This window comes from Homo sapiens, chromosome 19, assembly GCF_000001405.40.
Source record: "Homo sapiens chromosome 19, GRCh38.p14 Primary Assembly".
NCBI classification, from domain to species: Eukaryota; Metazoa; Chordata; class Mammalia; order Primates; family Hominidae; genus Homo; species Homo sapiens.
The window spans coordinates 21,858,405-21,883,660 of NC_000019.10; the positions used below are offsets into that span (position 1 = coordinate 21,858,405).

Below are 25,256 nucleotides of genomic sequence, written 5' to 3' on the forward strand. Positions count from 1 at the left end.
TGGCTCTGTTTTCAGACTCAGCCCACTTGCACCCAAGTGAAATAAACAACCTTGTTCCTCACACAAAGCCTGTTGGTGGACTCTCTTCACACAGATGTGTGTGTCATTTGGTGCTGAAGACCTGGGACAGGGGGAATCCTTTGGGAGACTGGTCCCCTGTACTCACCCTCACTCCATGAGGAGATCCACCCATGACCTTTGGTCCTCAGACCAGCCCAAGGAACATCTCACCAATTTTAAGTCTGGTAAGCGGCCTCTTTTTTTTCTCTTCTCCAGCCTTTCTCACTATCCCTCCTTTCCCTTCCTGGTAGAAACAGAGGAGAGGCATTTTATTCGTGAACTCAAAACCCTGGCATTGGTCACAGACTGAGGAAGACAGTCTTCCCTTGGTGTCTAAGTCACTGCAGGGACACCTGCCTGATTATTCACCCACATTTCAGGGACGTCTGATCACTGCAGGGATGCCTGCCTTGATCCTTCACCTTGGTGGCAGGTACCACCTCCCCTTGGTGGCAAGTACCACCTCCCCTAGATGGCGAGTACCACGCCCCCTCTCTCCATGTCTCTACCCTCTCTTTTCTCTGGGCTTGCCTCTTTCACTATGGGCAACATTCCATTCTCCATTCCCCCTTCTTCTCCCTTAGCCTGTGTTCTTAAAAACCTAAAACTCCTTCGACTAACACCTGACCTAAAACCTAAACATCTTATTTTCTTTTGTAATACTGCTTGGCCCCAACAGAAACTCGATAATAGTTCCAAGTGGGCAGAGAATGGCACTTTCAATTTGCCTATCCTGCAAGACCTAGACAATTTTTGTCATAAAATGTGCAAATGGTCTGAAGTGCCTGACTTCCAGGCATTCTTTTACACATCAGTCCCTCCCTAGTCTCTGCTCCCAATGCGACTCATCCGAAATCTTTCTTCTTTCTCTCCTGTCTGTTCCTTCGATCTCCACCCCGAGCTCTGAGTCCTTGGAATCTTCCTTTTCTATGGACCCATCTGACATCTCCCCTCCACCCCAGGCCGCTCCTCACCAGGCTGAGCCAGGTCCCAATTCTTCCTCAGCTTCCACTCCCCAACCCTATAATCCTTCTGTCACCTCCCCTCCTCACACCCAGTCTGACTTACAGTTTCATTCCATGACTAGCCCTCCCCCAGCTGCTCAACAATTTCCTCTTAAAGAGGTGGCTGGAGCTAAAGGCATAGTCAAGATTAATGCCCCTTTTTCTTTATCTGACCTCTCCCAAATCAGTTAGTGTTTAGGCTCTTTTTCATCAAATGTAAAAACCCAACCCAGTTCATGGCCCATTTGGCAATAACCCTTAGACACTTTACCCCCCTAGACCCAGAGGGGTCAGAAGGCCATCTTATTCTCAATGTACATTTTATTATCCAATCCACTCCCAATATTAGAAAAAGCTCCAAAAATTAGATTCCAGCCCTCAAACCCCACAATAGGACTTAATTAACCTCACCTTTGAGGTGTACAATAATAAAGAAGAGGCAGCCAAATGGCAACATATTTCTGAGTTGCAATTACTTGCCTCTGCTGTGAGAGAAAAACCACAGCCACATCTCCAGCACACAAGACCTTCGAAACACCTAAACCGCAGCAGCCAGGCATTCCTCCAGGACCTCCTTCCCCAGGATCTCCTTCCCCAGCATCTTGCTTCAAGTGCCAGAAATCTGGCCACTGGGCTAAGGAATGCCTGCAGTCCAGGATTCCTCCTAAGCCCTGTCTCATCTGTGTGGGACCCCACTATAAATTGGACTGTCCAACTCACCCAGCAGCCACTCCCAGAGCCTCTGGAACTCTGGCCCAAGACTCTCTGACTGACTCCTTCCCAGATCTTCTCAGCTTAGCAGCTGAAGACTGATGCCGCCCAACTGCCTTGGAAGCCTCCTAGACCATCACAGACACTTTGGGTAACTCCTACAGTGGAGGGTAAGTCCATCCCTTTCTTAATCAATACAGAAACTACCCACTCCACATTACCTTCTTTTCAAGGGCCTGTTTCCCTTGCATCCATAACTGTTGTGGGTATTGATGGCCAGGCTTCTAAACCTCTTAAAACTCCCCAACTCTGGTGCCAACTTGGACAACATTCTTTTATGCACTCCCTTTTAGTTATCCCTATCTGCCCAGCTCCCTTATTAGGTCAAGACATTTTAACTAAATTATCTGCTTCCCTGACTATTCCCGGGCTACAGCCACACCTCATTGTCACCCTTTTCCCCAGTTCAAAACCTCCTTCACATCCTCCCCTTGTGTCTCCCTACCTTAATCCACAAGTATGGGATACCTCTACTCCTACCTTGGTGACTGACCATGCACGCCTTACCATCCCATTAAAATCTAATCACCCTTACCCGACTCAACACCAATATCCCATCCCACAGCAGGCTTTAAAAGTGTTAAAGCCTGTTATCACCAACCTGTTACAACATGGCCTCTTAAAGCCTACAAACTCTCCTTACAACTCTCCTATTCTACCTGTCCAAAAACTGGACGAGTCTTACAGGCTGGTCCAGGATCGTTGCCTTATCAACCAAATTGTCTTGCCTACCCATCCTGTGATGCCAAACCCATATACTCTCCTATCCTCAATACCTCTCTCCACAACCCATTATTCTGTTCTGTATCTCAAACATGCTTTCTTTACTATTCCTTTACACCCTCCATCCTAGCCTCTCTTTGCTTTCACTTGGACTGACCCTGACACCCATCAGCCTCAGCAGCTTACCTAGGCTGTACTGCCACAAGGCTTCAGGGACAGCCCTCATTACTTCAGTCAAGCCCTTTCTCATGATTACTTTCTTTCTATCCATCTGCTTCTCACCTTATTCAATATTTTGCCGACCTTCTACTTTACATCCCCTCCTATGATTCTTCCCAACAGGAGACCCTCCTGCTCCTCCAACATCTATTCTCAAAAGGATATCCTCCTCCAAAGCCCAAATTTCTTTATCTTCTGTTACCTATCTTGGCATAATTCCTCATAAAAACACACATGCTCTTCTTGCTGATTGTGTCTGGTTAATTTCCCAAACCCCAACCCCTTCCACAAAGAAACAACTCCTTTCCTTCCTAGGCATGGTTAGATACTTTTGCTTTTGGATAGCTGCTTTTGCCATCCTGACTAAACCATGTAAACTCACAAATGGAAACCTAGCTGACCTCATAGATCCTGGATCCTTTCCCCACTCCTCTTTCCATTCCTTAAAAACAGCCCTAGAATCTGCTCCCACACTAGCTCTCCCTAACTCATCCCAACCCTTTTCATTAACACAGCCAAAGTACAGGGCTGTGCAGTCGAAATTCTTACATGAGAGCCAGGACTGCACCCTGCAGCCTTTCTGTCCAAACAACTTGACCTTACTGTTTTAGGCTAGCCCTCATGTCTCTGTGCAGCAGCTGCTGCCGCTTTAGTACCTTTAGAGGACCTCAAAATCACAAGCTATGCTCCACTTACTCTCTACAGTTCCCATAACTGTCAAAATCTATTTTCCTCCTTGCACTTGATGCATATATTTTCTGCCCTCTGGCTCCTTTAACTGTACTCACTATTTGTTAAGTCTCCCACAATTACCATTGTTCCTGGCCCAGACTTCAGTCTGGCCTCTCATCTTATTCCTGATACTACACCTGAACCCCATGACTATGTCTCTCTAATCCACATGGCATTCTCCCCATTTCCCCATATTTCCCTCTTTCCTGTTCCCCACCCAGACTGCGCTTGGTTTATTGACAGTAGTTCTTCCAGACCCAATCGCCAATCACCAGCAAAGGCAGGCTATGCTATAGTGTCTTCCATCTATCATTGAGGCTATTTCCCTGTCCCCTTCCACTACCTCTCAACAAGCTAAACTCATTGCCTTAACTTGAGCCCTCATTCTTACAAAGGGACTACATGTCAATATTGATACTGATTCCAAGTATGCCTTCCACATCCTTCACCTCCATGCTATTACATGGCCAGAAAGAGGTTTCCTCACTACACAAAGGTCTTCAATCATTAATGCCTCCTTAATAAAAACTTTTCTTAAAGCTGCTCTACTTCCAAAGAAGCTGGAGTCATTCACTGCAAGGGCCATCAAAAGATATCAGATGCCATTGCTCAGGGCAATGCTTATGCTGATAAGGTAGCTAAAGAAGCAACTAGCATTCCAACTTCTGTCCCTCATGGCCAGTTTTTCTCTTTCTCATCGGTCACTCCCACCTACTCTCCCATGGAAATTTCCACCTATCAATCTCTTCCCACACAAGGCAAATGATTCTTGGACCAAGGAAAATTCTTCTTTCCATCATGACAGGCTCATTTCATTCTATTGTCCTTTCAAAACCTTTTCTATGTGGGTTACAAGCCACTAGCCCACCTCTTAGAACCCCTCATTTCCTTTAAGACATTTGCCCTGCATTTCACTCCATCATTGACTACCTTCCCCTTTTTCTTCCGACTCTCCTCCCAGCCCCCTTTCTTGTTTGCTTATACCCAACCCTATGAATAGCAATGAAAGGTTTCTTGTAAACAGTATGCACTTTCTCATACACCATAAAAATTGAACCTCCCCCACTACCCAGTTGCCTTATCAGTCCCCATTACAACCTTTAATGGCTGCTGCCCTCACTAGATCCCTAAAAGTCTGGGTGCAAGATACCTCTTTTGGTGCTCCAATTTTGCCTCACAACGGTCTCTTCTTCCTCTGTGGCTCCTCCGCCTACATGTGTCTACCTATTAATTGGACAGGCACATGTACGTTAGTTTTCCTTATCCCAAAAAAATCAATTTGCAAACAGGACCGAACAACTTTCTGTTCCTCTCATGACATCAACACTTCACCACAATTTTCTTTTATTTTTCTGATTAATATGAGAAGACAGGAGTAGGCCTCGGCTTACTTACTGCTGAAAAAGGAGGACTCTGCATATTTCCAAATGAAGAATGTTGTTTTTACCTAAATCAATCTGGCCTGGTATATGACAACATACAAAAACTCAAGGATAGAGCCCAAAACTTGCCAACGAGGCAAATAATTATGCTGAACCCCCTTGGGCACTCTCTAATTGGATGTCCTGGCTCCTCCTAATTCTTAGTCACTTAATACCTGTTTTTCTCCTTCTCTTATTCTGACCTTGTGTCTTCCATTTAGTTTCTCAATTCATACAAAACCACATCCAGGCCATTACCAATCATTCTATATGATAAATGCTCCTTCTGACAACCCCACAATATCACCCCTTACCACAAAATCTTTCTTCAGTTTAATCTCTCCCACTCTAGGTTTCCACACTGCCCCTAATCCTGCTTGAAGCAGCCCTGAGAAACATTGCCCATCATCTCTCCATACGACCTCCAAACATTTTTGCCACCCCAACACTTCACCACTATTTTGTTTTGTTTTTTCTTATTAATATAAGAAGACAGGAACGTCAGACCTCTGAGCCCAAGCTTGCTTGTATACATCTAGATGGCCTGAGGCAACTGAAGTATAGCCAGATTTTAGGGAATCAGAGAGACTGATGAGGTTCAGGAGGATATTTATTAATTACTTTGGTTCATCAGCCCAGACGGATTAACATCCAAAGGACTGAGCCCTCAACAAAGAGTTAAGTTAGCTTTTAGGCATTTTGTGGGTGGGGGGAGATCTGTGCAGGAGGAATCATACTACAGAAGTGAGAAACAAAGACAGTTATTTTGTTGAGACATGCATTACATCATTTCTTACTTTTCAAGGAAAACCATGTTTTGCGACTTGAGTTTATCTGTCTAGTGACCTTGCAGCTTCACAGCTATGGAATCAGGGTCTTCACAATGCCTGGGAAGTGAGGAAAGATAAAGCTCACTAGCGATGGAAAAACAGGCAGTTAGTTTTTTTTTTTTTTTTTTTTTATGTTCTGATCTTATTTATTTATTTATTTATTTATTGTTGTGGGTACATAGTAGTATATATATTTATGGGGTCCATGAGATGTTTTGATACAGGCATGCAATGAGTAATAATCACATTATGGAGAATGGGGTATCCACCCCCTCAAGCATTTATCCTTTGTGTTATAAACAATCCAGTTACACACTTTTAGTTATTTTAAAAATGTACAATTAAGTTATTATTGACTATAGTCACCCTGTTGTGCTATAAAATAGTATGTTTTATACATTCTTTCTAGCTATTTTTTTCTGTACCCATTAACCATTCCCACCTCCCTCCCACCCCCACTACCCTTCCCTGCCTCTGATAACCATTTTTCTACTCTCTATGTCCATCATACATTCTGATTTTAAAACGGTTTTCCTACATTTCATACATAAGTCACTCAAGTACACAGAATTATTATTTTTTTTTTAAATTTATTTTTTTATTGATAATTCTTGGGTGTTTCTCACAGAGGGGTATTTGGCAGGGTCATGGGACAATAGTGGAGGGAAGGTCAGCAGATAAACAAGTGAACAAAGGTCTCTGGTTTTCCTAGGCAGAGGACCCTGCGGCCTTCCGCAGTGTTTGTGTCCCTGATTACTTGAGATTAGGGATTGGTGATGACTCTTAACGAGCATGCTGCCTTCAAGCATCTGTTTAACAAAGCACATCTTGCACCGCCCTTAATCCATTTAACCCTGAGTGGACACAGCACATGTTTCAGAGAGCACAGGGTTGGGGGTAAGGTCACAGATCAACAGGATCCCAAGGCAGAGGAATTTTTCTTAGTGTAGAACAAAATGAAAAGTCTCCCATGTCTACTTCTTTCCACACAGACACGGCAACCATCCGATTTCTCAATCTTTTCCCCACCTTTCCCGCCTTTCTATTCCACAAAGCCGCCATTGTCATCCTGGCCCGTTCTCAATGAGCTGTTGGGTACACCTCCCAGACGGGGTGGTGGCCGGGCAGAGGGGCTCCTCACTTCCCAGTAGGGGCGGCCGGGCAGAGGCGCCCCTCACCTCCCGGACGGGGCGGCTGGCCGGGCAGGGGGGCTGATCCCCCCCCACCTCCCTCCCGGAGGGGGCGGCTGGCCGGGCGGGGGGCTGACCCCCCCACCTCCCTCCCGGACGGGGAGGCTGGCCGGGCGGGGGGCTGACACCCCCACCTCCCTCCCGGATGGGGCGGCTGGCCGGGCGGGGGGCCGACCCCCCCACCTCCCTCCCGGACGGGGCGGCTGGCCGGGCAGAGGGGCTCCTCACTTCCCAGAAGGGGCGGCCGGGCAGAGGCGCCCCTCACCTCCCAGACGGGGCGGCTGGCCGGGTGGAGGGCTGACCCTCCCACCTCCCTCCCGGATGGGGCGGCTGGCCGGGCAGAGGGGCTCCTCACTTCCCAGTAGGGGCGGCCGGGCAGAGGCGCCCCTCACCTCCCCGACGGGGCGGCTGGCCGGGCGGAGGGCTGACCCCCTCACCTCCCTCCCAGACGGGGCGGCTGGCCAGGCGGGGGGCTGACCCCCCCACCTCCCTCCCGGACGGGGCGGCTGGCCAGGCGGGGGGCTGACCCCCCCACCTCCCTCCCGGACGGGGTGGCTGGCCGGGCTGAGGGGCTCCTCACTTCCCAGTAGGGGCGGCCGGGCAGAGGCGCCCCTCACCTCCCGGACGGGGCGGCTGGCCGGGCGGGGGGCTGACCCCCCCCCACCTCCCTCCCGGACGGGGTGGCTGCCGGGCGGAGACGCTCCTCACTTCCCAGATGGGGTGGCTGCCGGGCGGAGAGGCTCCTCACCTCTCAGACGGGGCAGCTGCCGGGCGGAGGGGCTCCTCACTTCTCAGACGGGGCGGCCAGGCAGAGACGCTCCTCACCTCCCAGATGGGGTCTCGGCCGGGCAGAGGCGCTCCTCACATCCCAGATGGGGCGGCAGGGCAGAGGCGCTCCCCACATCTCAGACGATGGGCGGCCGGGCAGAGACGCTCCTCACTTCCTAGATGTGATGGCGGCTGGGAAGAGGCGCTCCTCACTTCCTAGATGGGATGGCGGCCGGGCGGAGACGCTCCTCACTTTCCAGACTGGGCAGCCAGGCAGAGGGGCTCCTCACATCCCAGACGATGGGCGGCCAGGCAGAGACACTCCTCACTTCCCAGACGGGGTGGTGGCCGGGCAGAGGCTGCAATCTCGGCACTTTGGGAGGCCAAGGCAGGCGGCTGGGAGGTGTAGGTTGTAGTGAGCCGAGATCACGCCACTGCACTCCAGCCTGGGCACCATTGAGCACTGAGTGAACGAGACTCCGTCTGCAATCCCGGCACCTCGGGAGGCCGAGGTTGGCGGATCACTCGCGGTTAGGGGCTGGAGACCGGCCCGGCCAACACAGCGAAACCCCGTCTCCACCAAAACCAGTCAGGCGTGGCGGCGCGTGCCTGCAATCGCAGGCATTCGGCAGACTGAGGCAGGAGAATCAGGCAGGGAGGTTGCAGTGAGCCGAGATGGCAGCAGTACAGTCCAGCTTCGGCCCCGCATGAGAGGGAGACCGGAGGGAGAGGGAGAGGGGGAGGGGGAGGGGGAGGGGGAGGGGGAGGGGGAGGGGGAGGGGGAGGGAGAGCTAGTTTTTAAAGGACTCCAGCTCTTTCTCTTTCTCAGGGGGAGTTGGGTTTTCTTACGTACAACTGAGTTTCTGCTTACACATTCTTTAATTTCTTTTAATTCCTGTTCCAGAAGAACCACAAAAGAAGTGAAAATGTCCAGTTCCTGCCTTAATTGATGACATTCCACCACTGTGATTTGTTCCTGCCCCACTCTGACTGATCAATTAACCTTGTGACCTTCCTTCTCCTGGACAATGAGTCTCAGAAGCTCCCCCACCAAGCACCTTGTAACCCCCGCCCCTGCCCACAAGAGAAAAACCCCCTTTGACTGTAGTTTTCCACTACCTACCCAAATTCTATAAAACTGCCCCACCCCTATCTCCCTTTGCTGACTCTCTTTTCGGACTCAGCCCACTTGCACCCAAGTGAAATAAAAAGCCTTGTTGCTCACACAAAGTCTGTTGGTGGACTGTCTTGACATGGACGCACATGACAGGTTCCACCATGTTTTCTGTGCTCAAGCAGTCTGCCCACCTTGGCCTCCCAAAGTGCTGCAATTACAGGTGTGAGCCACCATGCCTGGCTTGTTCGTTCTATCTATCTATCTATCTATCTATCTATCTATCTATCTATCATCTATCTATCTATCTATCTACCTATGTATCTAACCATCTTTTTAGCAGAGATGTGGTCTCACTATGTTGCCCAGGGTCTGCTCATATATATTTCTTTTTTAACATTATTGTTATTTTGTCTCACTGTATCACCCAAGCTGGAGTGCAGTGGTGGGATCTCAGCTCACTGCAACCTCTGCCTCCCTGTTCTAAGCAATTCTCCCACCTCAGCCTCCCAAGTAGCTGGGACTACAGGTGCACCCCCCGCCCCCCAGATGATTTTTGCATTTTTAGTACAGACGAGGTTTCTCCATGTTGGCCAAGCTGGTCTGGAACTCCTGACCTCAAATGATCCACTCATCTCGGCCTCCCAATGTAGTGGGATTACAGGCATGAGCCACCATCTCCATCCTGGTCATTTTTTTTTTTTTCCTTGAGACAGAGTCTTGTTCTGTCACCAGGCTGGAATTCAGTGGTGTCATCTTGGCTCACTGCAACCTCTGCCCCCTGGGTTCAAGTGATTCTCCTGCCTCAGCCTCCCAAGTAGCTGGTATTACAGGCACATGCCACCACACCCAGCTAATTTTTGTATTTTTAGTAGAGATGGGGTATCACCATGTTGGCCAGGATGGTCTCGATCTCCTGACGTCGTGATCCACCTGCCTTGGCTTCCCAAAGTGTTGGGATTACAGGCGTGAGCCACTGCACCTGGCCTCCAGTCATATCATTTATGTGTTGATTTTTTTCAGTTTGTGTTTCAGTCCAGATGCGTAGTGATAGTACCGGGATTGAGAACAAAAATGTTGAAACAGATCAATCTCAGGAACCTGTTTTTTTTTTTGGTTGGTTGGTTGTTTTTAGGGGCACAAGCGCCACTGAGTGAAGTGCTCCTAATCTCTGTTGGTTTTGAATATTGTAGAAAGCATTACAGTATTTAATTTTGTGCACTAAAGATTTTTTCTAGTTCTAGAATACAGATAAATCTAGATGTATGATTCTTAATCAATCACAAGAGGCTCAATAAGCCTTTTTCCTCATTCTACTTCTTTCTTGAAGGGGAGGGCCTTGATTTGCATTTGCTGCCTACAGAGAGCAATTTGTCCATATTTTTTTCTCTTCTTTTTCTTATCGGGAGGGAAATGAGCCTGAGAAAGCTGCAGGACCATGAGTTGTTAGAAGATTACTTCCAATGAGAGGAAAGGAAGTGTGTGCGACAACACATTCAGAGAGAAATCTGGGGAGGTAGCAGAGCAGGAAGCACCAGTCATCTGTCTCCCCTCCTAGGCAAAAGGGAGGCTGGCAGAATCTGTCTGATGGAGCGATTTGGGAACACTGGAGTCTATGGGAGGCCTGCTGCTGCCAGGGGGAAGCCTGGAAGATACACTGTGATCAATGCCAGTTCAAGTTAGCTTTGTTTCCCAACCCCACACTTTCTATGCCCCCCTCAGGCCAGAATCACAGTGGTGGAAAGGCTTCTAAGGAGAGGTATGTGGGATGGTGCTCCTACAACAAGTCAGGATCTTTAAGCTAAGCCTGTTTTATTTCTGGTCTCAAGTTCACCAGAATAAAAAAGGTATTCCTTGACTTAGCAATGAATGATATCATGGCTTTAGTTTATTTTCTGCTCACAGGTTTGAGCCATAAAAAATAATTTTTCTTGATATGCAATACATGATAACTATGTATGTCAGAACATGCTTCTATTAGTGTACTCTTGAGGATATAGTTTAAATGGCAAATAAAATTTTGCATATATGGAAGTTTCTTTTTATGTTACTAACAGTACAAATATCTATCAATACATTTACCTCTTATGTCTCTACTCTGAATATAAAGAGCATGATAATTAGATCTGGATATAGATGTTTGTAAGTAGATACAGGCAAGCATAAAATTATATGGGTTTGTCTATGTAAATATTTATGTATACAAAATATGTTCAAGAGACATCCTCCTCCAGCCAAAACTGATGTTGAGGCATAGACTTACATTCAAATATATGGTTGTATAGCATCTCAGGCTGGAACCCAGCTAGCTATACAATAACATTGAGGGACACAGCCTGAGAAGTAAGTTCCAGTACTGTTATGTAAGGTTTTATGGAAAACTTGGAATCTGAAGGCCCTGCTTTTTTCTTTTCACTGCATGCCTGTTATTTATATCCATCACTGGGGGCCTTCCTTGATGCTTCTTCTTTCCCAAACTAGCTAATTGGCTGATTATATTTACCTGGGCTGAGCTAATTTGGCTGATTAAAATCACCTGAGCTTAGCTAATTGGCTTATTGAATTCACCTGGTCTGGATGAGCAGGCAAGGAAAATGAACTTTGATCTACTTTCCTTCTGAGGCTTTTTTACCTGGCATAAGCACAAATGGACTTTACCTAGATACACCTATGTGAACCATTCTGGGTGTATATGTTTCGCTATCCACATATCTTATATCTATAAATACATGTACAGAACTAAATGAAGCTAGGTCAGAGGTCATTTTTATTTGCATTCTTTCCAGACCAGGTGAATCAAGTCAGCCTAATAGGCTGATTGCTCAGTCGTGATTTACCAAATCCAAGCTACATATCACATCACATTATTCTTATAAATGTGTAAATGTTCTTGTTATCTGGCACCCGAGTGTTTTTAATTCAGGGTCTAATCAAACTTGCTCAGTGGAATCCTAACCACACAGCTAGGACAAGCCAGAAGTGCCTGACACCAGGGACTCTAGCCTTTCTCACAAAGATTTAGCCTGGAGAATAAGAGCCACCACTAACACTTCAGCACATGTTCGCTATCACTTGGTTGAAATATGGCCAGGGTCCAGCTTTGCATGACAATGAATGACTCCCTTGGCCTTAGTGCATTTTTATTTCCTAGAAGAAAGAAACTAGAAACAATGCTTTCTTCATGTATGTTAAATGCAGCAGGTTGTATTTAAGAACAACCTCCCGTATGTGTGATTCTGGATATAGTTTATAAGGCAGTTAAGATTATACATGTATAAAAGTCTTTTTTATACCATTATTAGAATCAATACCTATCAATATTTCCACTTTCCACATTTTTTTCTGTATGAATATACATACAAAGCTAAATATGTTTGCATATAGATATACATAGGTAGAAAGGTAAACAAAAACCCATACAGAATTATGTATGTTTATGTGAACATTTATGTATACAAAGCATGTTCTGAAAAGACATTTTAAATGCTCTAGTATATATTAAGAACACAAATGTATAGTAACTTCGGTACTCTGTGGCACAATAACATCTCATAATGAAACAGAGCCAAGCAATGTTGTTTGTATAAGTGTAAACAAAGCTTCAGGTTCAGGGAATAAGTCTAGAAAGTAAGCTGACAGTACAGCTATGTAATGCTATATTTCCAGGCTAGCATTTCAGGCTATTGCTTTGTTTCTCACTGTATCAACATGCTATTTACATTCACTATGTTAGGCCTGACTTGATGAATCTGCAGTCCCTATTTAGACAATTGCATAATTGGATCCACCTGAGTCGAGCTAACTAGCTTATTAAAGTCACCTGGACTGAGCTAATTGGCTGACTGGATTCACCAGAGCTGAGCTCATTGACTGAATGGATTCACTGTTTCCAAATAGAATGTGTAGAAAAATGACTTCTGATTTAATTTTATTTTGGGGCTGTTTTACAAAAAAGTGCTCACAGATCAACATTATATAGACATATTTACATAACCCTGTGTGTTTGTATATGTTTATCTATCTATATATGTCATATTTAGATCAAAATCTACAGAGAAATGTGTCCAATAAAACTAACATTTTTTTTCCAGTATTGAAGTAAATGCTCAAGTTACAGCCCTTGGCTTTTATTCTCTTACCCAAAAAGTCACTACTTCAGCAAAGAAAACAAAAATACAAGGATTGATTCCTGTGTCACACGTTTGAAAAAGATTCTTTAAATTTATGAAAGCTTTAAAGACAATTATTCAGCACTTTCACATTTGGGTGAGGGCCTTTAAGCTGAGGCTATTTTATTTCTGGTCCTATGTTTACCAGAAAGAAAATGGTCACCCTTGACCTGGCAATGAATGTCTTTCATAACCTTAGCATATTTTTATTGTTCAGAAGTGAGCAACAAGAAATGATCCTTTCTTGTTAAAAGCAGAAAGATGTATGTGGGAGCATAGTTCCATTTTTGTACTATTTTTTGAATAGTTTATGGGGAAGTTAAGTCTATACATATATAAAAGCATCTTTTTATGTCACTATCATTACCAATATCAATCAATATTTCCACTTTATACATCATTATTCTTATTTTTTTATTGAGACAGGGTCTCACTCTGTCACCAAGGCTGGAGAGCAGTGGTGCCATGTAGGTTCACTGCAACCTCTGTCCCCTGAGCTCAAGCAATCCTCCCACCTCAGCCTCCCAAGTAGCTGGGACTACAAGCACATACCACTACACCTGGCTCTTTAAAACTCGAGCTCAAGCAATCCACCCACCTCAACCTCCTGAAGTGCTAAAATTACAGGTGTGAACCACCGCACCTGGCTATACATCATTATGTTTTATAAATATAGATACAAAGATGGATGCATCTGAATATAGACATACATAGATAAACATACACACACATATAGGATTATATGACTACATATGTGTAAATATTAATGTATACACATTATGTTGGCCAAAAGACATTTTCAATACCCTAGTATATATTATAGATAAAGATGTAGAATTACTTCTCTACTCTAACACAATAGTATTCCAGAATGAAACATAGACATACGATGTTGTTTGTTTAAATGTAAACAAAGCTTCTCCTGCATGAGAAAGATTTGGGAAGATCACAGTACACGAACTAATAGTTTATGTTCAGATTAGCATTTTATGGCCCTGCTTTTATTTTCAATCTATGCATGCACTACTCCCATCAACCATTGTAACTCTGCCTTGAGAAATTCACTGTTGATATTTTGATAATTGACTGATGGGTCTAACTTCTTTGAGCTAACTGGCTGATTGGAATCACCTGGCCTGAGCTAATTGGCTGATTTTATTCACCTGGGCTGAGCTAATTGGCTAATTGGAGAACCTGGGCTGAGCTAATTGAATGATTGAAATCACCGGGGCTGACCTAATCAGCTGCATCAATTAACCTGTCTTGAGGGAAATGAGTAGTAAAATGACATCTTTTATTTTGAGGCTTCTTTGCAAGACACACTCACAAATGGAAATTACATAGACATATTTGCATAACCCTGTGATTTCTATGTGTTAATTCATCTATGTATTTTATATCTGTATCTAAATCTACAAAAAAATCTATCCAAAGAAAACTTAATTTCCTTTCAGTGTAGCAGGCTAACTTTGAGTCATAGACTCCAATTTTTTTTTCTCTACCTTAAAAAGTTACTTCTTTAGCCAACAAAACAAAAAAATCCCCAAATTATCATGCTATGTCATATATTCATACAAAAGAGCCCCTGAAGTTTAAAGATAATTATTTCTGGAAGTATATTTCTGGGCTGAGCTGGTTGGCTGATTGTATTCACGTGTGTTGAGAAGCAAGGGTAGGGTAATGACCTCTGACATACTTTTATTTTTTTTCCAAGACATACTCATAAATGGTCATTGAATAAACATATTTATATAACCCTGCATGTTATATATATATATATAAAACAGAAGAAAGTGTCTAGAGAAAACTAAAATTCACTGTCAGTACAGCAATGTATCTTCAAGTCACAGACCTCAACTATTCATTTCCTACCAAATAAAGTTGCTTCTCCAGCCAACAAAATGCAATACAATAATTTATTTTTTTGTCCCATGTTCAAAAAAAAGAATTACCTCAATTGGTGGAAGCTTTAAATAAACATTTTCAGCATTCGCACATTTGGGTTAGGGCTTTTCAGCAGAGGCTAATTTAATTTTGGTTCTGTGTTCACTAGAATAAAAAGGGTTATCCTTGATTTGGCATGAATGACTCTCATGGCCTTAGTGAATTTTTATCTCCCAGAAGTCAGCAACAAGGACCAATGCTTATTTTGTATAAGTTAAATGCAGATGGATGGACGTTATAGCATGCCTCCATTTGTGTACTACTCTAGATAGAGTTTATTGGTCAGAACGCTTTATACATCTATGGAATTATTTTTATATATCAGTATCAGTATCAATACCTATCAACCCTTTCACCTTCTGCATCTTTACTTTTTATGAATAAAAATACAAAAATGAATATATCTGGATATAGATATACACAGGTAGATGTACATCTATGTAAATATTTAGATAGATAAGTACATCTATGTAAATATTTAGGTGTACACTGGATGTTCACAAAAAGGCATTTTCAATACCTTAGTATATAATCAGGATGCAGATACGGACTTATTACCCTACTGTATGCCACAATACAAACCCAGGATTGTACATTGCCGTACAATGTTGTCTACATAAACACAAACAAAGCTTCACTTTCAAAGGTGAGGTCTTTGAAGTAAGCTGACAGCATAGCAATTTAATGCTTTATGACCAGATTAGCATTTCAGGAACCTGCCTACCTTCTCAGTGTAGGAATGTGCTGTCACGTCCACTGTTTTGGGCCTGACTTGATGAATCTGCAGTCGCTATTTAGATAACTGTTTGATTGAATCCAAGTTTGCTGAACTAATTGGCTGATTCTTTGGCCTGGGCCCTGCCTGCAGAAGTCATTGTGACATATCTATGGTCCCATCAGAGATGCGACTGTCCTCTTATGCCTGGACCCTGTCCACAGTGAAGATTTCAACATATGGCTTGGCTCAGCACCTAAGTAATAAGACTCTCCTATTGTGCTTGGGCCCTGCCTGCAGGGGTTATTATGACATAAAGCTGAGCCCAGCTCCTATGTTATGTGACTCTCTTCTTTTTCCTGAGCCCAACCTACAGGGGGAATGTTTATATATCTCTGGGCTAGTTAAACCTATCTCTCTGCCAGTTAAACAGTTTTCTTCTGTTCACGTCTAATGGAAGGCTATAAATGGCATTACTTAGTGAATGGAATAGCTTTCTAAAAGCTCAGGTGCTACTGAGAAGCTGAGGCTTGCAGGATTTCAGCACACTTAATTCTAATCAAGTCACAGGACTCAACCTAGGAAGAAGCAGTTGGGGAAAAGAACCTGGGCGATGTGACTCTCCATCTGGGCACTCCCATTAGGGAGTATTGTAGCATATCTTTGAGCCCATCGACTGTTTGATGTGACTCTCCTGTCTCACCTGGGCTTTGCCCATGGGCAAGATTGTAACATATGTATTGGGCCATAACCCAGGTGTTGTGACTCTTTTCTCCTGCCTGACAACTGCTCCCAGAGTGGATTGTGGCATATGGTTGGCCTCAATACCAAGTTGGTGTTGCTCTTTTGCCTTGGCCCTGCACTCAGGAGACACTGTGCCATTTCATTGGGCTCAGCACCGAGGTGATGTGAATCTCCTGCCTTGAATCTGTTCGGGGGGGACATTGTGACATATCTCAGGGCTCATCAACTTACAACATATTTGAGATGCCTCTTTTATCTGATGTGGGCTTTGCCCATTAAAGTAACTGTGACATATCTCTGGGCCCAGCACACAGGTCATTTAACACTTCTGCGTTGGCCCTGTCCACATGTTCATTGTGATATAACTCTGGGCCCATGCCCTAGGCAATGTCACTCTCCTCTTTTGCCTGAGCCCTCTCCTTAGTGGGGATTGTGACGTATTGCTTCTCCCAGAACCTAGGCGATGGAACTTCCTCTCATGCCCGGGCCCTGCCTATGTGAGTGATTGAATAGATAGCTAGACGCAGCCTCTATATTATGCCACTCTCTTCTTCCTGAGCTCTACCCACAAAGGTATTGTAACATCTCTAAGCCCCTCTCCTAGGTGATTTGATGCTTCTTTCTGAACCCTTTCCTCAGGGGCTGTTGTGACCTATTACTAAACACAGCACCTAGGTGATCTGACTTTTCTACACTGCTTGGGTTCTGCCCACAATATAGATTTTAATGTATAGCTCAGAGCAGCACCTAGGTGATGTTACTCTCCTATCCTGCCTGATCCCTGGATACATTGTGTATTGTGACATATCACTGGGTCCAACAGTTAGGTGATGTGACCCTCCTGCATGGGCCCTGACACCAGGAGTATTATGGGATATCTTTGATTCATCACCTTGGTGATGTGACCTTCCTCTTCTGCCTGGGACATGCTAAAAACGGGGATTGTGACACATCCCTGTACCAGCACCTAGGCGATGTGACCGTTCTTTTGCCCGGGCCCCATATACTTTGAGTATTTTAACATATTGCTGGGCTCAACATCCATGGGATAGTACACTCCTGCCTGGGCCTTGCCCACAGGGAGACTTGTGACATATCTCTGCATGCATCACCTAGATGTTGTGACTCTTCTTTTCTACCTGCACCCTGCCAACAGGAAGGATTGTGACATATCGCTGGGCTTAGCAACTAGGTAATGTGTCTCTCCTGCATGGCCTTTTCCACAGGGGTCATTGTGACCTATCGCTGGGCCCAGCACCCAGGTAATGTGATTCTTTTTGCCTGTGTCCTGCTCACAGAGTAAATTGGGACATATCACTGTGCCCAACACCCAGGTGATATGACTCTGCTGCTTGTGCCCTGCTTTCAGGAGAAGATTGTGACATATCTTTGGCCAAGCACCCAGGTGTTGTGGCTTTTTTTTCCTGTCTGCACCCTGCCCACAGTGAAAATTGTGACATGTCACTGGACCAACACTCAGGGGATTTGATGTCCCTTCTCACTCTCTATGCACAGGTGGTGTTGTGACATATAGTTTGGCCAAGTTTACAGGTGTGATGATTACTCTCATACTTTGAACCAGCTGGTAGGAGAGATACTGTCTTTTGTAGCTTGGCTTAGCAAAACAGTAAGAGTCTGGGTTATTTCGTTTTACAAAAATCACAGGGGATTATCATGCTCTTGCCTATCACATAAAGCCCTTGGGTGGTACAGAGTGTCATAAAGGGGCCCCAGCACAAAGTTGAGATTGTGTCTCTCATATGCAAACTTTGACAACAGTTAGGATGGTCATCGTCACAAGCGGACAGAGGCCACTCGTGAGGTCCTAAGTCTCATGAAAAGATGCAGTCCACGGTTAGAATTGTGACAGTCGCATGCAAATATCCAGATAGAATTGGGATGGTGACTCATTTCTAAACTAAGCTTATAGGTTCATTGAGCACCCTCACATCTGGACCCAGCCAATTGGAGAGATGTTGATGTGGGCTTATGGCCACAGGTAAGATCATGGGCCCATACCAGCCTGAAGGTATCAGAGCAGATCGTGACTCTCACACATACCATAAAAAGCCCTCAACTGGTACAGAGAGTATCCTAACGTGACTCAGCACACAAGTGAGATCGTGTCTGCTGTACACATGCCCAGATGACAGTAAAGATTGTCATCCATTAACACTAACACAGCCCATTGCTGAGGTCCTGAATCTCACACCCAGAAGCAGTTGAAAGTTGGAAAATTGACTCTCATATGTGAATCCGGTCCACAGGTGGGTTGGTGACTCTCAGACCAAGACTCAGCACTCTCGTGAGGTTGTGACTCCGCTAAGGAGACAGGCTGCGGGACGGATTGAGGCTTTCACGCGTGGCTCCGGTCCACTGTTGAGACTGTGAATCACGTACTTAGACTCAACATACAGGAAGTGTTTCCTCTCATACCTGTAATTGAGAAATGTGCAGGATTGTTAATCTCATCCCTGGCCTTTCATGCAGGTGTGATTGTGCCCTCAAAAGGCATTGTGAAATATTGGTGGGCCCAGCTCAAAGGTGATATGAAATATGCCTCTCCAGCATTTGAGTTATTTTACTTTTCTGTGAGAGCCCAGTCCACAGATGGGATTGTGACATTGCTAGACCCAACAACTAGGTAATGTGACTCTATTCTCCTGCATTGGCATTGTCCAAAGAAGGCAAATAACACATTACTTGTCTTCGCACTCAGGTGATGACTCTTCTCCTGCCTTGGCACTGTGCACAGGGGGCATTGTGACATATCACTGGGCTCTACACCCAGGTTATGTAACTTCCATGCCTGGTCCCTGAGCATAGTGGCCATTGTGACATATTTCTTGCTCTAAAACCCAGGGGAAATTACTCTTTTGCCTTGCTCCTACCTGCAGAGGGCATTGTGACACAACTCTGTGAGTGATGTGACCCTTCCAAAATGGGATTATGGCTGAGCACAGTGGCTCATGCCTGTAATCCCAGCACTTTGTGAGGCTGAGTCAGGTAGATCACCTGAGGTCAGGAGCTCAAGACCAGCCTGGCCAAAATGGTGAAACTCTGTCTCTACTGCAAATACAAAAATTAGCTGGGTGTGGTGGCACATGCCTGTAATCCCAGCTGCTTGGGAGGCTGAGGCAGGAGAATCACTTGAGCCTGGGAGGCAAAGGTTGCAGTGAGCTGAGATCATGCCATTGCACTCTAGCCTGGGTAACAAGAGTGAAACTCTGTCTCAGAAAAACAAAAAACAAAACAAAACAAAAAACAAAGTGGGATTATGACTTATGACTGATCCCAGCACCTAGCTGATTTGACTTTTCTTTTTTTTCCAGGTTCTGCCTGCAGGGAAGATTGTGACATATTGCTGGAAACAACACCAACATAATGTTGCTCTTTTGCCTGGGACCTGCCCTCAAAAGGCATTGTGATATACTGGTGGGCCAAGCTCGAAGGTGATGTGAGTATCCTGCTTCGAGCCTTCTCACAGAGGGCTTTGTGACATATCTCTGGGCTAATTAACTGTTTGATGTGACTTTCTTCTCTGACCTTGGCTTTGCCCATAGGGCAGAGTATGATAAACCTCTGGGCCCAGAACCTAGGTGATGTGACTCTTCTCTCTTGCCTCAACCACGCCCACAAGAAGGAGAGTAACATCACTGGGCCCAGCACACAGGTAATGTGATCCTTCTGCCTGGTTTCCCCATAGGAGACATACTCCTGGACCCATCTCCTAGTTGATGTTACTCTCCTTTTCTGCCTGTGCCCTGTACACAGTGAATATTGTGACATATCACTTGACTGAGCACCTAAATGTGTGACTCTTTTCATATGCCTGGGCCCTGCTCACTAAAGTGATGGTGACACATAGCTGAAACCAGCCTCTAAGTTATGCAACTTTCCACTTCTATTTGAGCCCTATGCTCACGGGGCATTGTGACACACGTTTAGTTTTTCTACCTAGGTGATGTGAGCCTTCTATCTGAACTCCCCCGCCACCAAGGGGTAATGTGACAATTTGCTTGACCCAGTACTAGGTGATGTGACTCTTCCCTACTGCTTGGCCTCTTCCCACAGGAGGAATTGTGATGTATCACTGGGCCCAGCATGCAGGTAATGTGACTCTCCTGCACAGGCCCTGCCCACAGGGGTGATTGTGGCAGATTGCTGATCCCAGCTCCCATGTGATGTGCTCTCCTCCACTGCTTCGGCTCTGCTTAAAAAGGGAATGTGATGTATCTCTTGGTACAGCATCGAGGTGATGTCTCTCTCCTTTTCTGCCTGGGCCCTGCATACTTTGTGTAGTGTAGCATATGGCTGAGTCTAAGACCTACTTGGTGTGACTCTCCTGCATGTGTCCTGCCCACAAGGTATTGTGACATATATTTTCATTGATTACCCAAGTAATGTGACTCTCATCTTCTGTTTGGGCCCTGTCAGTAGACAGGATTGTGACATGTCACTGGACCCAGTATCTTGACACTGTCACTTTCCTTTTTTGCCTGAGCCTGTCATATTTTGGGCATTGTGACTTAGCACTGGGCCTGACATCTGGGGGATGAGAGGCTGCTGCATAGGCCGTGCCTACAGTGCACCTTGTGACATATCTCTGCATTCATCACCTAAAACATTTGAGTCTTCTTTTTGTCCTGCACCCTGCTCACAAAAAAGACTGTGACATATTGCGGGGCCCAGCAACCAGATGATGTGTTCTTACTGCCTGGACCTTGCCCATAGAGAGCATTGTGACATATTGTTTGGCCCAGCATTCAGGTGACATGACTCTGCTGCCTGTGACTTGGTTCCAAGATAGAATTATAACATGCCACTGGCCAAGAACCAAGATGATTTGACCCTTCTACCTGGTCCTTGCCCTCCGGAAGATTGTAACATAGCCTTGGCTTATTACCCAGGTGATGTGACTCTCCTGCTTGCTCCCTACCCACAGGTGATATTGTGACATATATCTTGGCCTAGCTTACAAACGGGATGATGACTCTCATATTTTGAACCAGCCAATATCAGAGATATTGTCTCCCATAGCTAGGATTAGAGAAACAATTTGGGTTCTGTGCTTTCTTAATGTATGAATGTCATAAAGCATTAACCACTCTCTAACATGCCATATAAAGCCTTCAGGTGGTACAGAGGGTGCCATCACAAGGTGCAGTGCACAGATGAGATTGTGTTTCTTGTATGCACATTCTGCCAACTGTTAGGATTATCACTCTCATACATGGAAAGAACCAACTGGTAAGATTCTTAATTGCTCATGTGGATGCAAGTCACAGTTGGAATTGTGACTGTGATATGTGAACATCCGGCAACAATTAGGATGGTGAATCATTTCTAAACCCACATCATAGGCAGGTAAGAACTCTCCTATCTGGACACAGCCAATTAGAGACATGTTGACTTTCATTCCTGGACTTAAGGCCACAAATACTGTAGGGACCAGCCCCACAGGGTCAGTGGGTCTCTCCCTGTGTGTGGCGATGAGAGAGTGTAGAAATAAAGACACCAGACAAAGAAACAAGAGAAAAGGCAGCTGGGCCCGGGGGACCACTACCACCGATGCGCGGAGACCGGTAGTGGCCCCGAATGTCGGGCTGCGCTGTTATTTATTGGATACAAGGCAGAAGGGGCAGGGTAAAGAATGTGAGTCACCTCCAATGATAGGTAAGGTCACGTGGGTCATGTGTCCACTGGACAGGGGGCCCTTCCCTGCCTGGCAGCTGAGGCAGAGAGGGAGAGGAGACAAAGAGAAAGACAGCTTACGCCATTATTTCTGCATATCAGGGACTATTAGTACTTTCACTAATTGACTACTGCTATCTGGAAGGCAGAGCCAGGTGTACAGGATGGAACATGAAGGCAGACTAGGAGTGTGACCACTGAAGCACAGCATCACAGGGAGATGGTTAGGCCTCCGGATAACTGCGGGTGAGCCTGACTGATGTCAGGCCCTCCACAAGAGGTGGAGGAGCAGAGTCTTCTCTAAACTCCCCTGGGGAAAGGGAGACCGCCCCCCCCCCCCACCCTTTCCCAGTCTGCTAAGTAGCGGGTGTTGTTTCTTGACATCTTTTGCTACCGCTGGATCATGATCCGCTTGGTAACGGGCGTCTTCCCAGACGCTGGCATCACCGCTAGACCAAGGAGCCCTCTGGTGGCCCTGTCCAGGCATAACAGAAGGCTCGCACACTTGTCTTCTGGTCACACCTCACTATGTCCCCTCAGCTCCTATCTCTGTATAGCCTGGTTTTTCCTAGGCTATGATTATTGAGTGAGGATTATCATAATATTGGAATAAAAAGTAATTGCTACCAACTAATGATTAATGATACTCATATATAATCATATCTAAGATCTATATCTGGTATAACAATTCTTGTTTTATATTTTATTATACTGGAACAGCCCATGTCCTCTGTCTCTTGCCTCGGTGCCTGGGTGGCTTGCCACCCACATCTCCCCCCTTTTTATTAACTAGAATCGCCATCGCCATCATTGCTTGTCGTTGACTTCAGACTTGGTTTCGGACTCCTTGGAGGCATCTGCAGACTAAAAGGAGACAACATAAGCATACCAATATTAATAATGCCAGTAACAACAATGATCCTCTGACAGGTTTGAGCCATTTGAAGGGATTAAAATCAGATAATTATTTAGCTATGCCTTGAAAAATGTCTGAGCCAGGAACAGTGGATAAATGGGCTTGTGAAGCCTCAAAGATTTGCTCTTTAAGTTGTGAAATATCCAAGGTTATGTTGTCATCCCAGGCTTTTAAATGTCTTGAGACCTTTTCCAGCTATGTTGATCTTGATTATAAGCATAAGGCGTTATGCAATAATCAGAAGTATTCCAATCACACTGTAATTGCATACGGTGTTCCAAATTCATAACTCTATCTCCCAGCCAGGTTACACTTTGGCAGAGATCATTAATCTGATTAGCTAATTTTTGATCAATTTGCACCTGAGAATTCCAAAGTCTGGAGGGGTTTTTCTGCCATGCTTCAACATAGTGAGCAGTTTGAACAGAGTTGTGGATGGCAACTCCAGCAGTTGCTGCTGTTGCAGTAACCGCAATTAGTCCTGCAAGGACTGCAATAAGAGTAAAAATAAATCTCTTTGTTCTTTTAAGAATGCCTTTAAGAACTTCATTGACTATGTGAATAGAGGGGGAAGACTCCCATGGATGACATAAAGAAACTGGTATCCATACCCCCTCCCTAGCCCTTATCAAGAGAATACTGGTAGTGGGATTAAAAGTTGCATCAATGCAAGTGAACAGCTTACAGTTATGACATTCTGTAGTTTGTGCATCAGGCATAATAATTATATTTCCAACCAACAGCATGTAAGAGGGTTTGACACAGCTCCTAATAGGTATCACCCATTCAGAAATAAGGGTGATGTTGAAATGTGGATGTTTTGGTTTTAGTACGAAGGAGTTGATAGGTAGTGTTCCATATCCTTATTCCTGACAAAACTGCAGCTAATTTCCATAGTTCAGGATGTTGTGGGGTAACAAAGGGATGAATCATTTTTGGCCTAGGAGGAGCAATGCCTGTGTCCATCCATTTAAATGGGTAAGGAGACACCATTGTCTCATTGTGTAAGACTGCCATCCATGCTGTATATAATCTAAGGAATAAACTCCGAACATAAGGTATTTTTTGCTGGAGCAATCTTGCCAATAATGTCCTTTTGGAGCCTAATCAATAACAATACCCGTGGCTAGAGTTTTGAGCACAACAGCCTTGGGAGCATTACAATCATCCCATAAAATTGAAGTCACTATAAAAGGTCCCTTTGTAGGTTTCTTTGGACAGTCTGGCAGTCCTTTTGTTTTATTAGTTTTGGTAGTGAGAGGAATTCTCCATGCCTCATGTGGGGTACGTTTGACAGTGAGAAGTTGAAAAGAGTTAGTACTGAACACATTATGTACTTGATAAGAATCATTTGTAAAGGACGGTACGGTCCACATCCAATTCTGGTAAGAATAAGCTAAACAGCCAGGCGACTTCCCAATACGTAGTGGTGGATATTTATAGCCAATTGACAGATTAAAGTGCATACCTTCTTCTTCCGGTTGAGCTGGAAACCGATCATCATTAGGGATCGGCATGAATGCACTATTATTAGTGTAAACTTCTACTGGGGAGTCCATCCAGGAGACAGACCGAATTAGAGGGGGAAAAGGAACATATGCCCAATAAGTATAATTTTGAGTTGCCCCGACCGGTGGTATACTTACCGCTGCACTGACTACCATAAAGGCAGCCACAATTATATTACCGGTCGTTTGGGGGATTCTTTTTCTGTTAAGAATTTTTCTGTTTGATGAGATAACATCTTTATTTGACCCCAAGTAGGTGGAGTTGAACGAGAGGTGTTGTAGGTCACACGGCGAGATTTTGTCTCAATGTGGATGTCACGAAGGGTATGTGTCAGGCGGTGAAAGTTGCTCTTTTGTTTCCGATGGGTCTTTGCCTTTTGTTTCTGGGAGCGTTTCATCTTTGGAGTTATGGTGCAGTTTTAATTGTCGGGAGGGGACCCACACAGGTTGTAGTCCTTTTCCTGGGGAAACACAAGCAAAACCCCTACCCCAAGTTATGACCGTGCCTAATTCCCGTGTGTTAGTTTTTACGTCCTTCCACCATACCCGCATTCCTTTTTGTGGATCAAATTTATTTACAGTGAAATGTTGTTCTGCGGCTGTGAAAGGTTGATTTCTTGTTAAGTTTAAGAAATTTAGTGTGAAAAGAGCCAGATTTAATTTGGCATGAGGAGTAACAGCATCTCCCTTTAATTTAGTATCCTGTTTACGCAGTTGATCTTTGAGTGTTTTCT

The 25,256-nt window shown here is 45.0% G+C and overlaps 1 long non-coding RNA gene across 1 annotated transcript, besides 1 other annotated feature; it reads right to left on the reverse strand.

Moving 5' to 3' along the window:
- Positions 1-265: 265 nt before the first annotated feature.
- LOC105372324 (uncharacterized) lies at positions 266-16,013 on the reverse strand. Its single transcript, XR_936431.2, has 4 exons — positions 15,670-16,013; positions 5,728-5,817; positions 4,660-4,733; positions 266-304 (listed from the first exon to the last, which is right to left on the reverse strand). It is a non-coding gene; the product is annotated as an uncharacterized LOC105372324 (long non-coding RNA).
- Positions 4,172-5,133: an enhancer, noted in NCBI's record as "H3K27ac hESC enhancer chr19:22045378-22046339 (GRCh37/hg19 assembly coordinates)". NCBI's record gives its function as "activates a minimal SCP1, AML or CMV promoter by ChIP-STARR-seq in primed H9 embryonic stem cells {active_cell/tissue: H9 hESC(primed)}" and the evidence as "EXISTENCE:reporter gene assay evidence [ECO:0000049][PMID:30033119]".
- Positions 16,014-25,256: the final 9,243 nt, after the last annotated feature.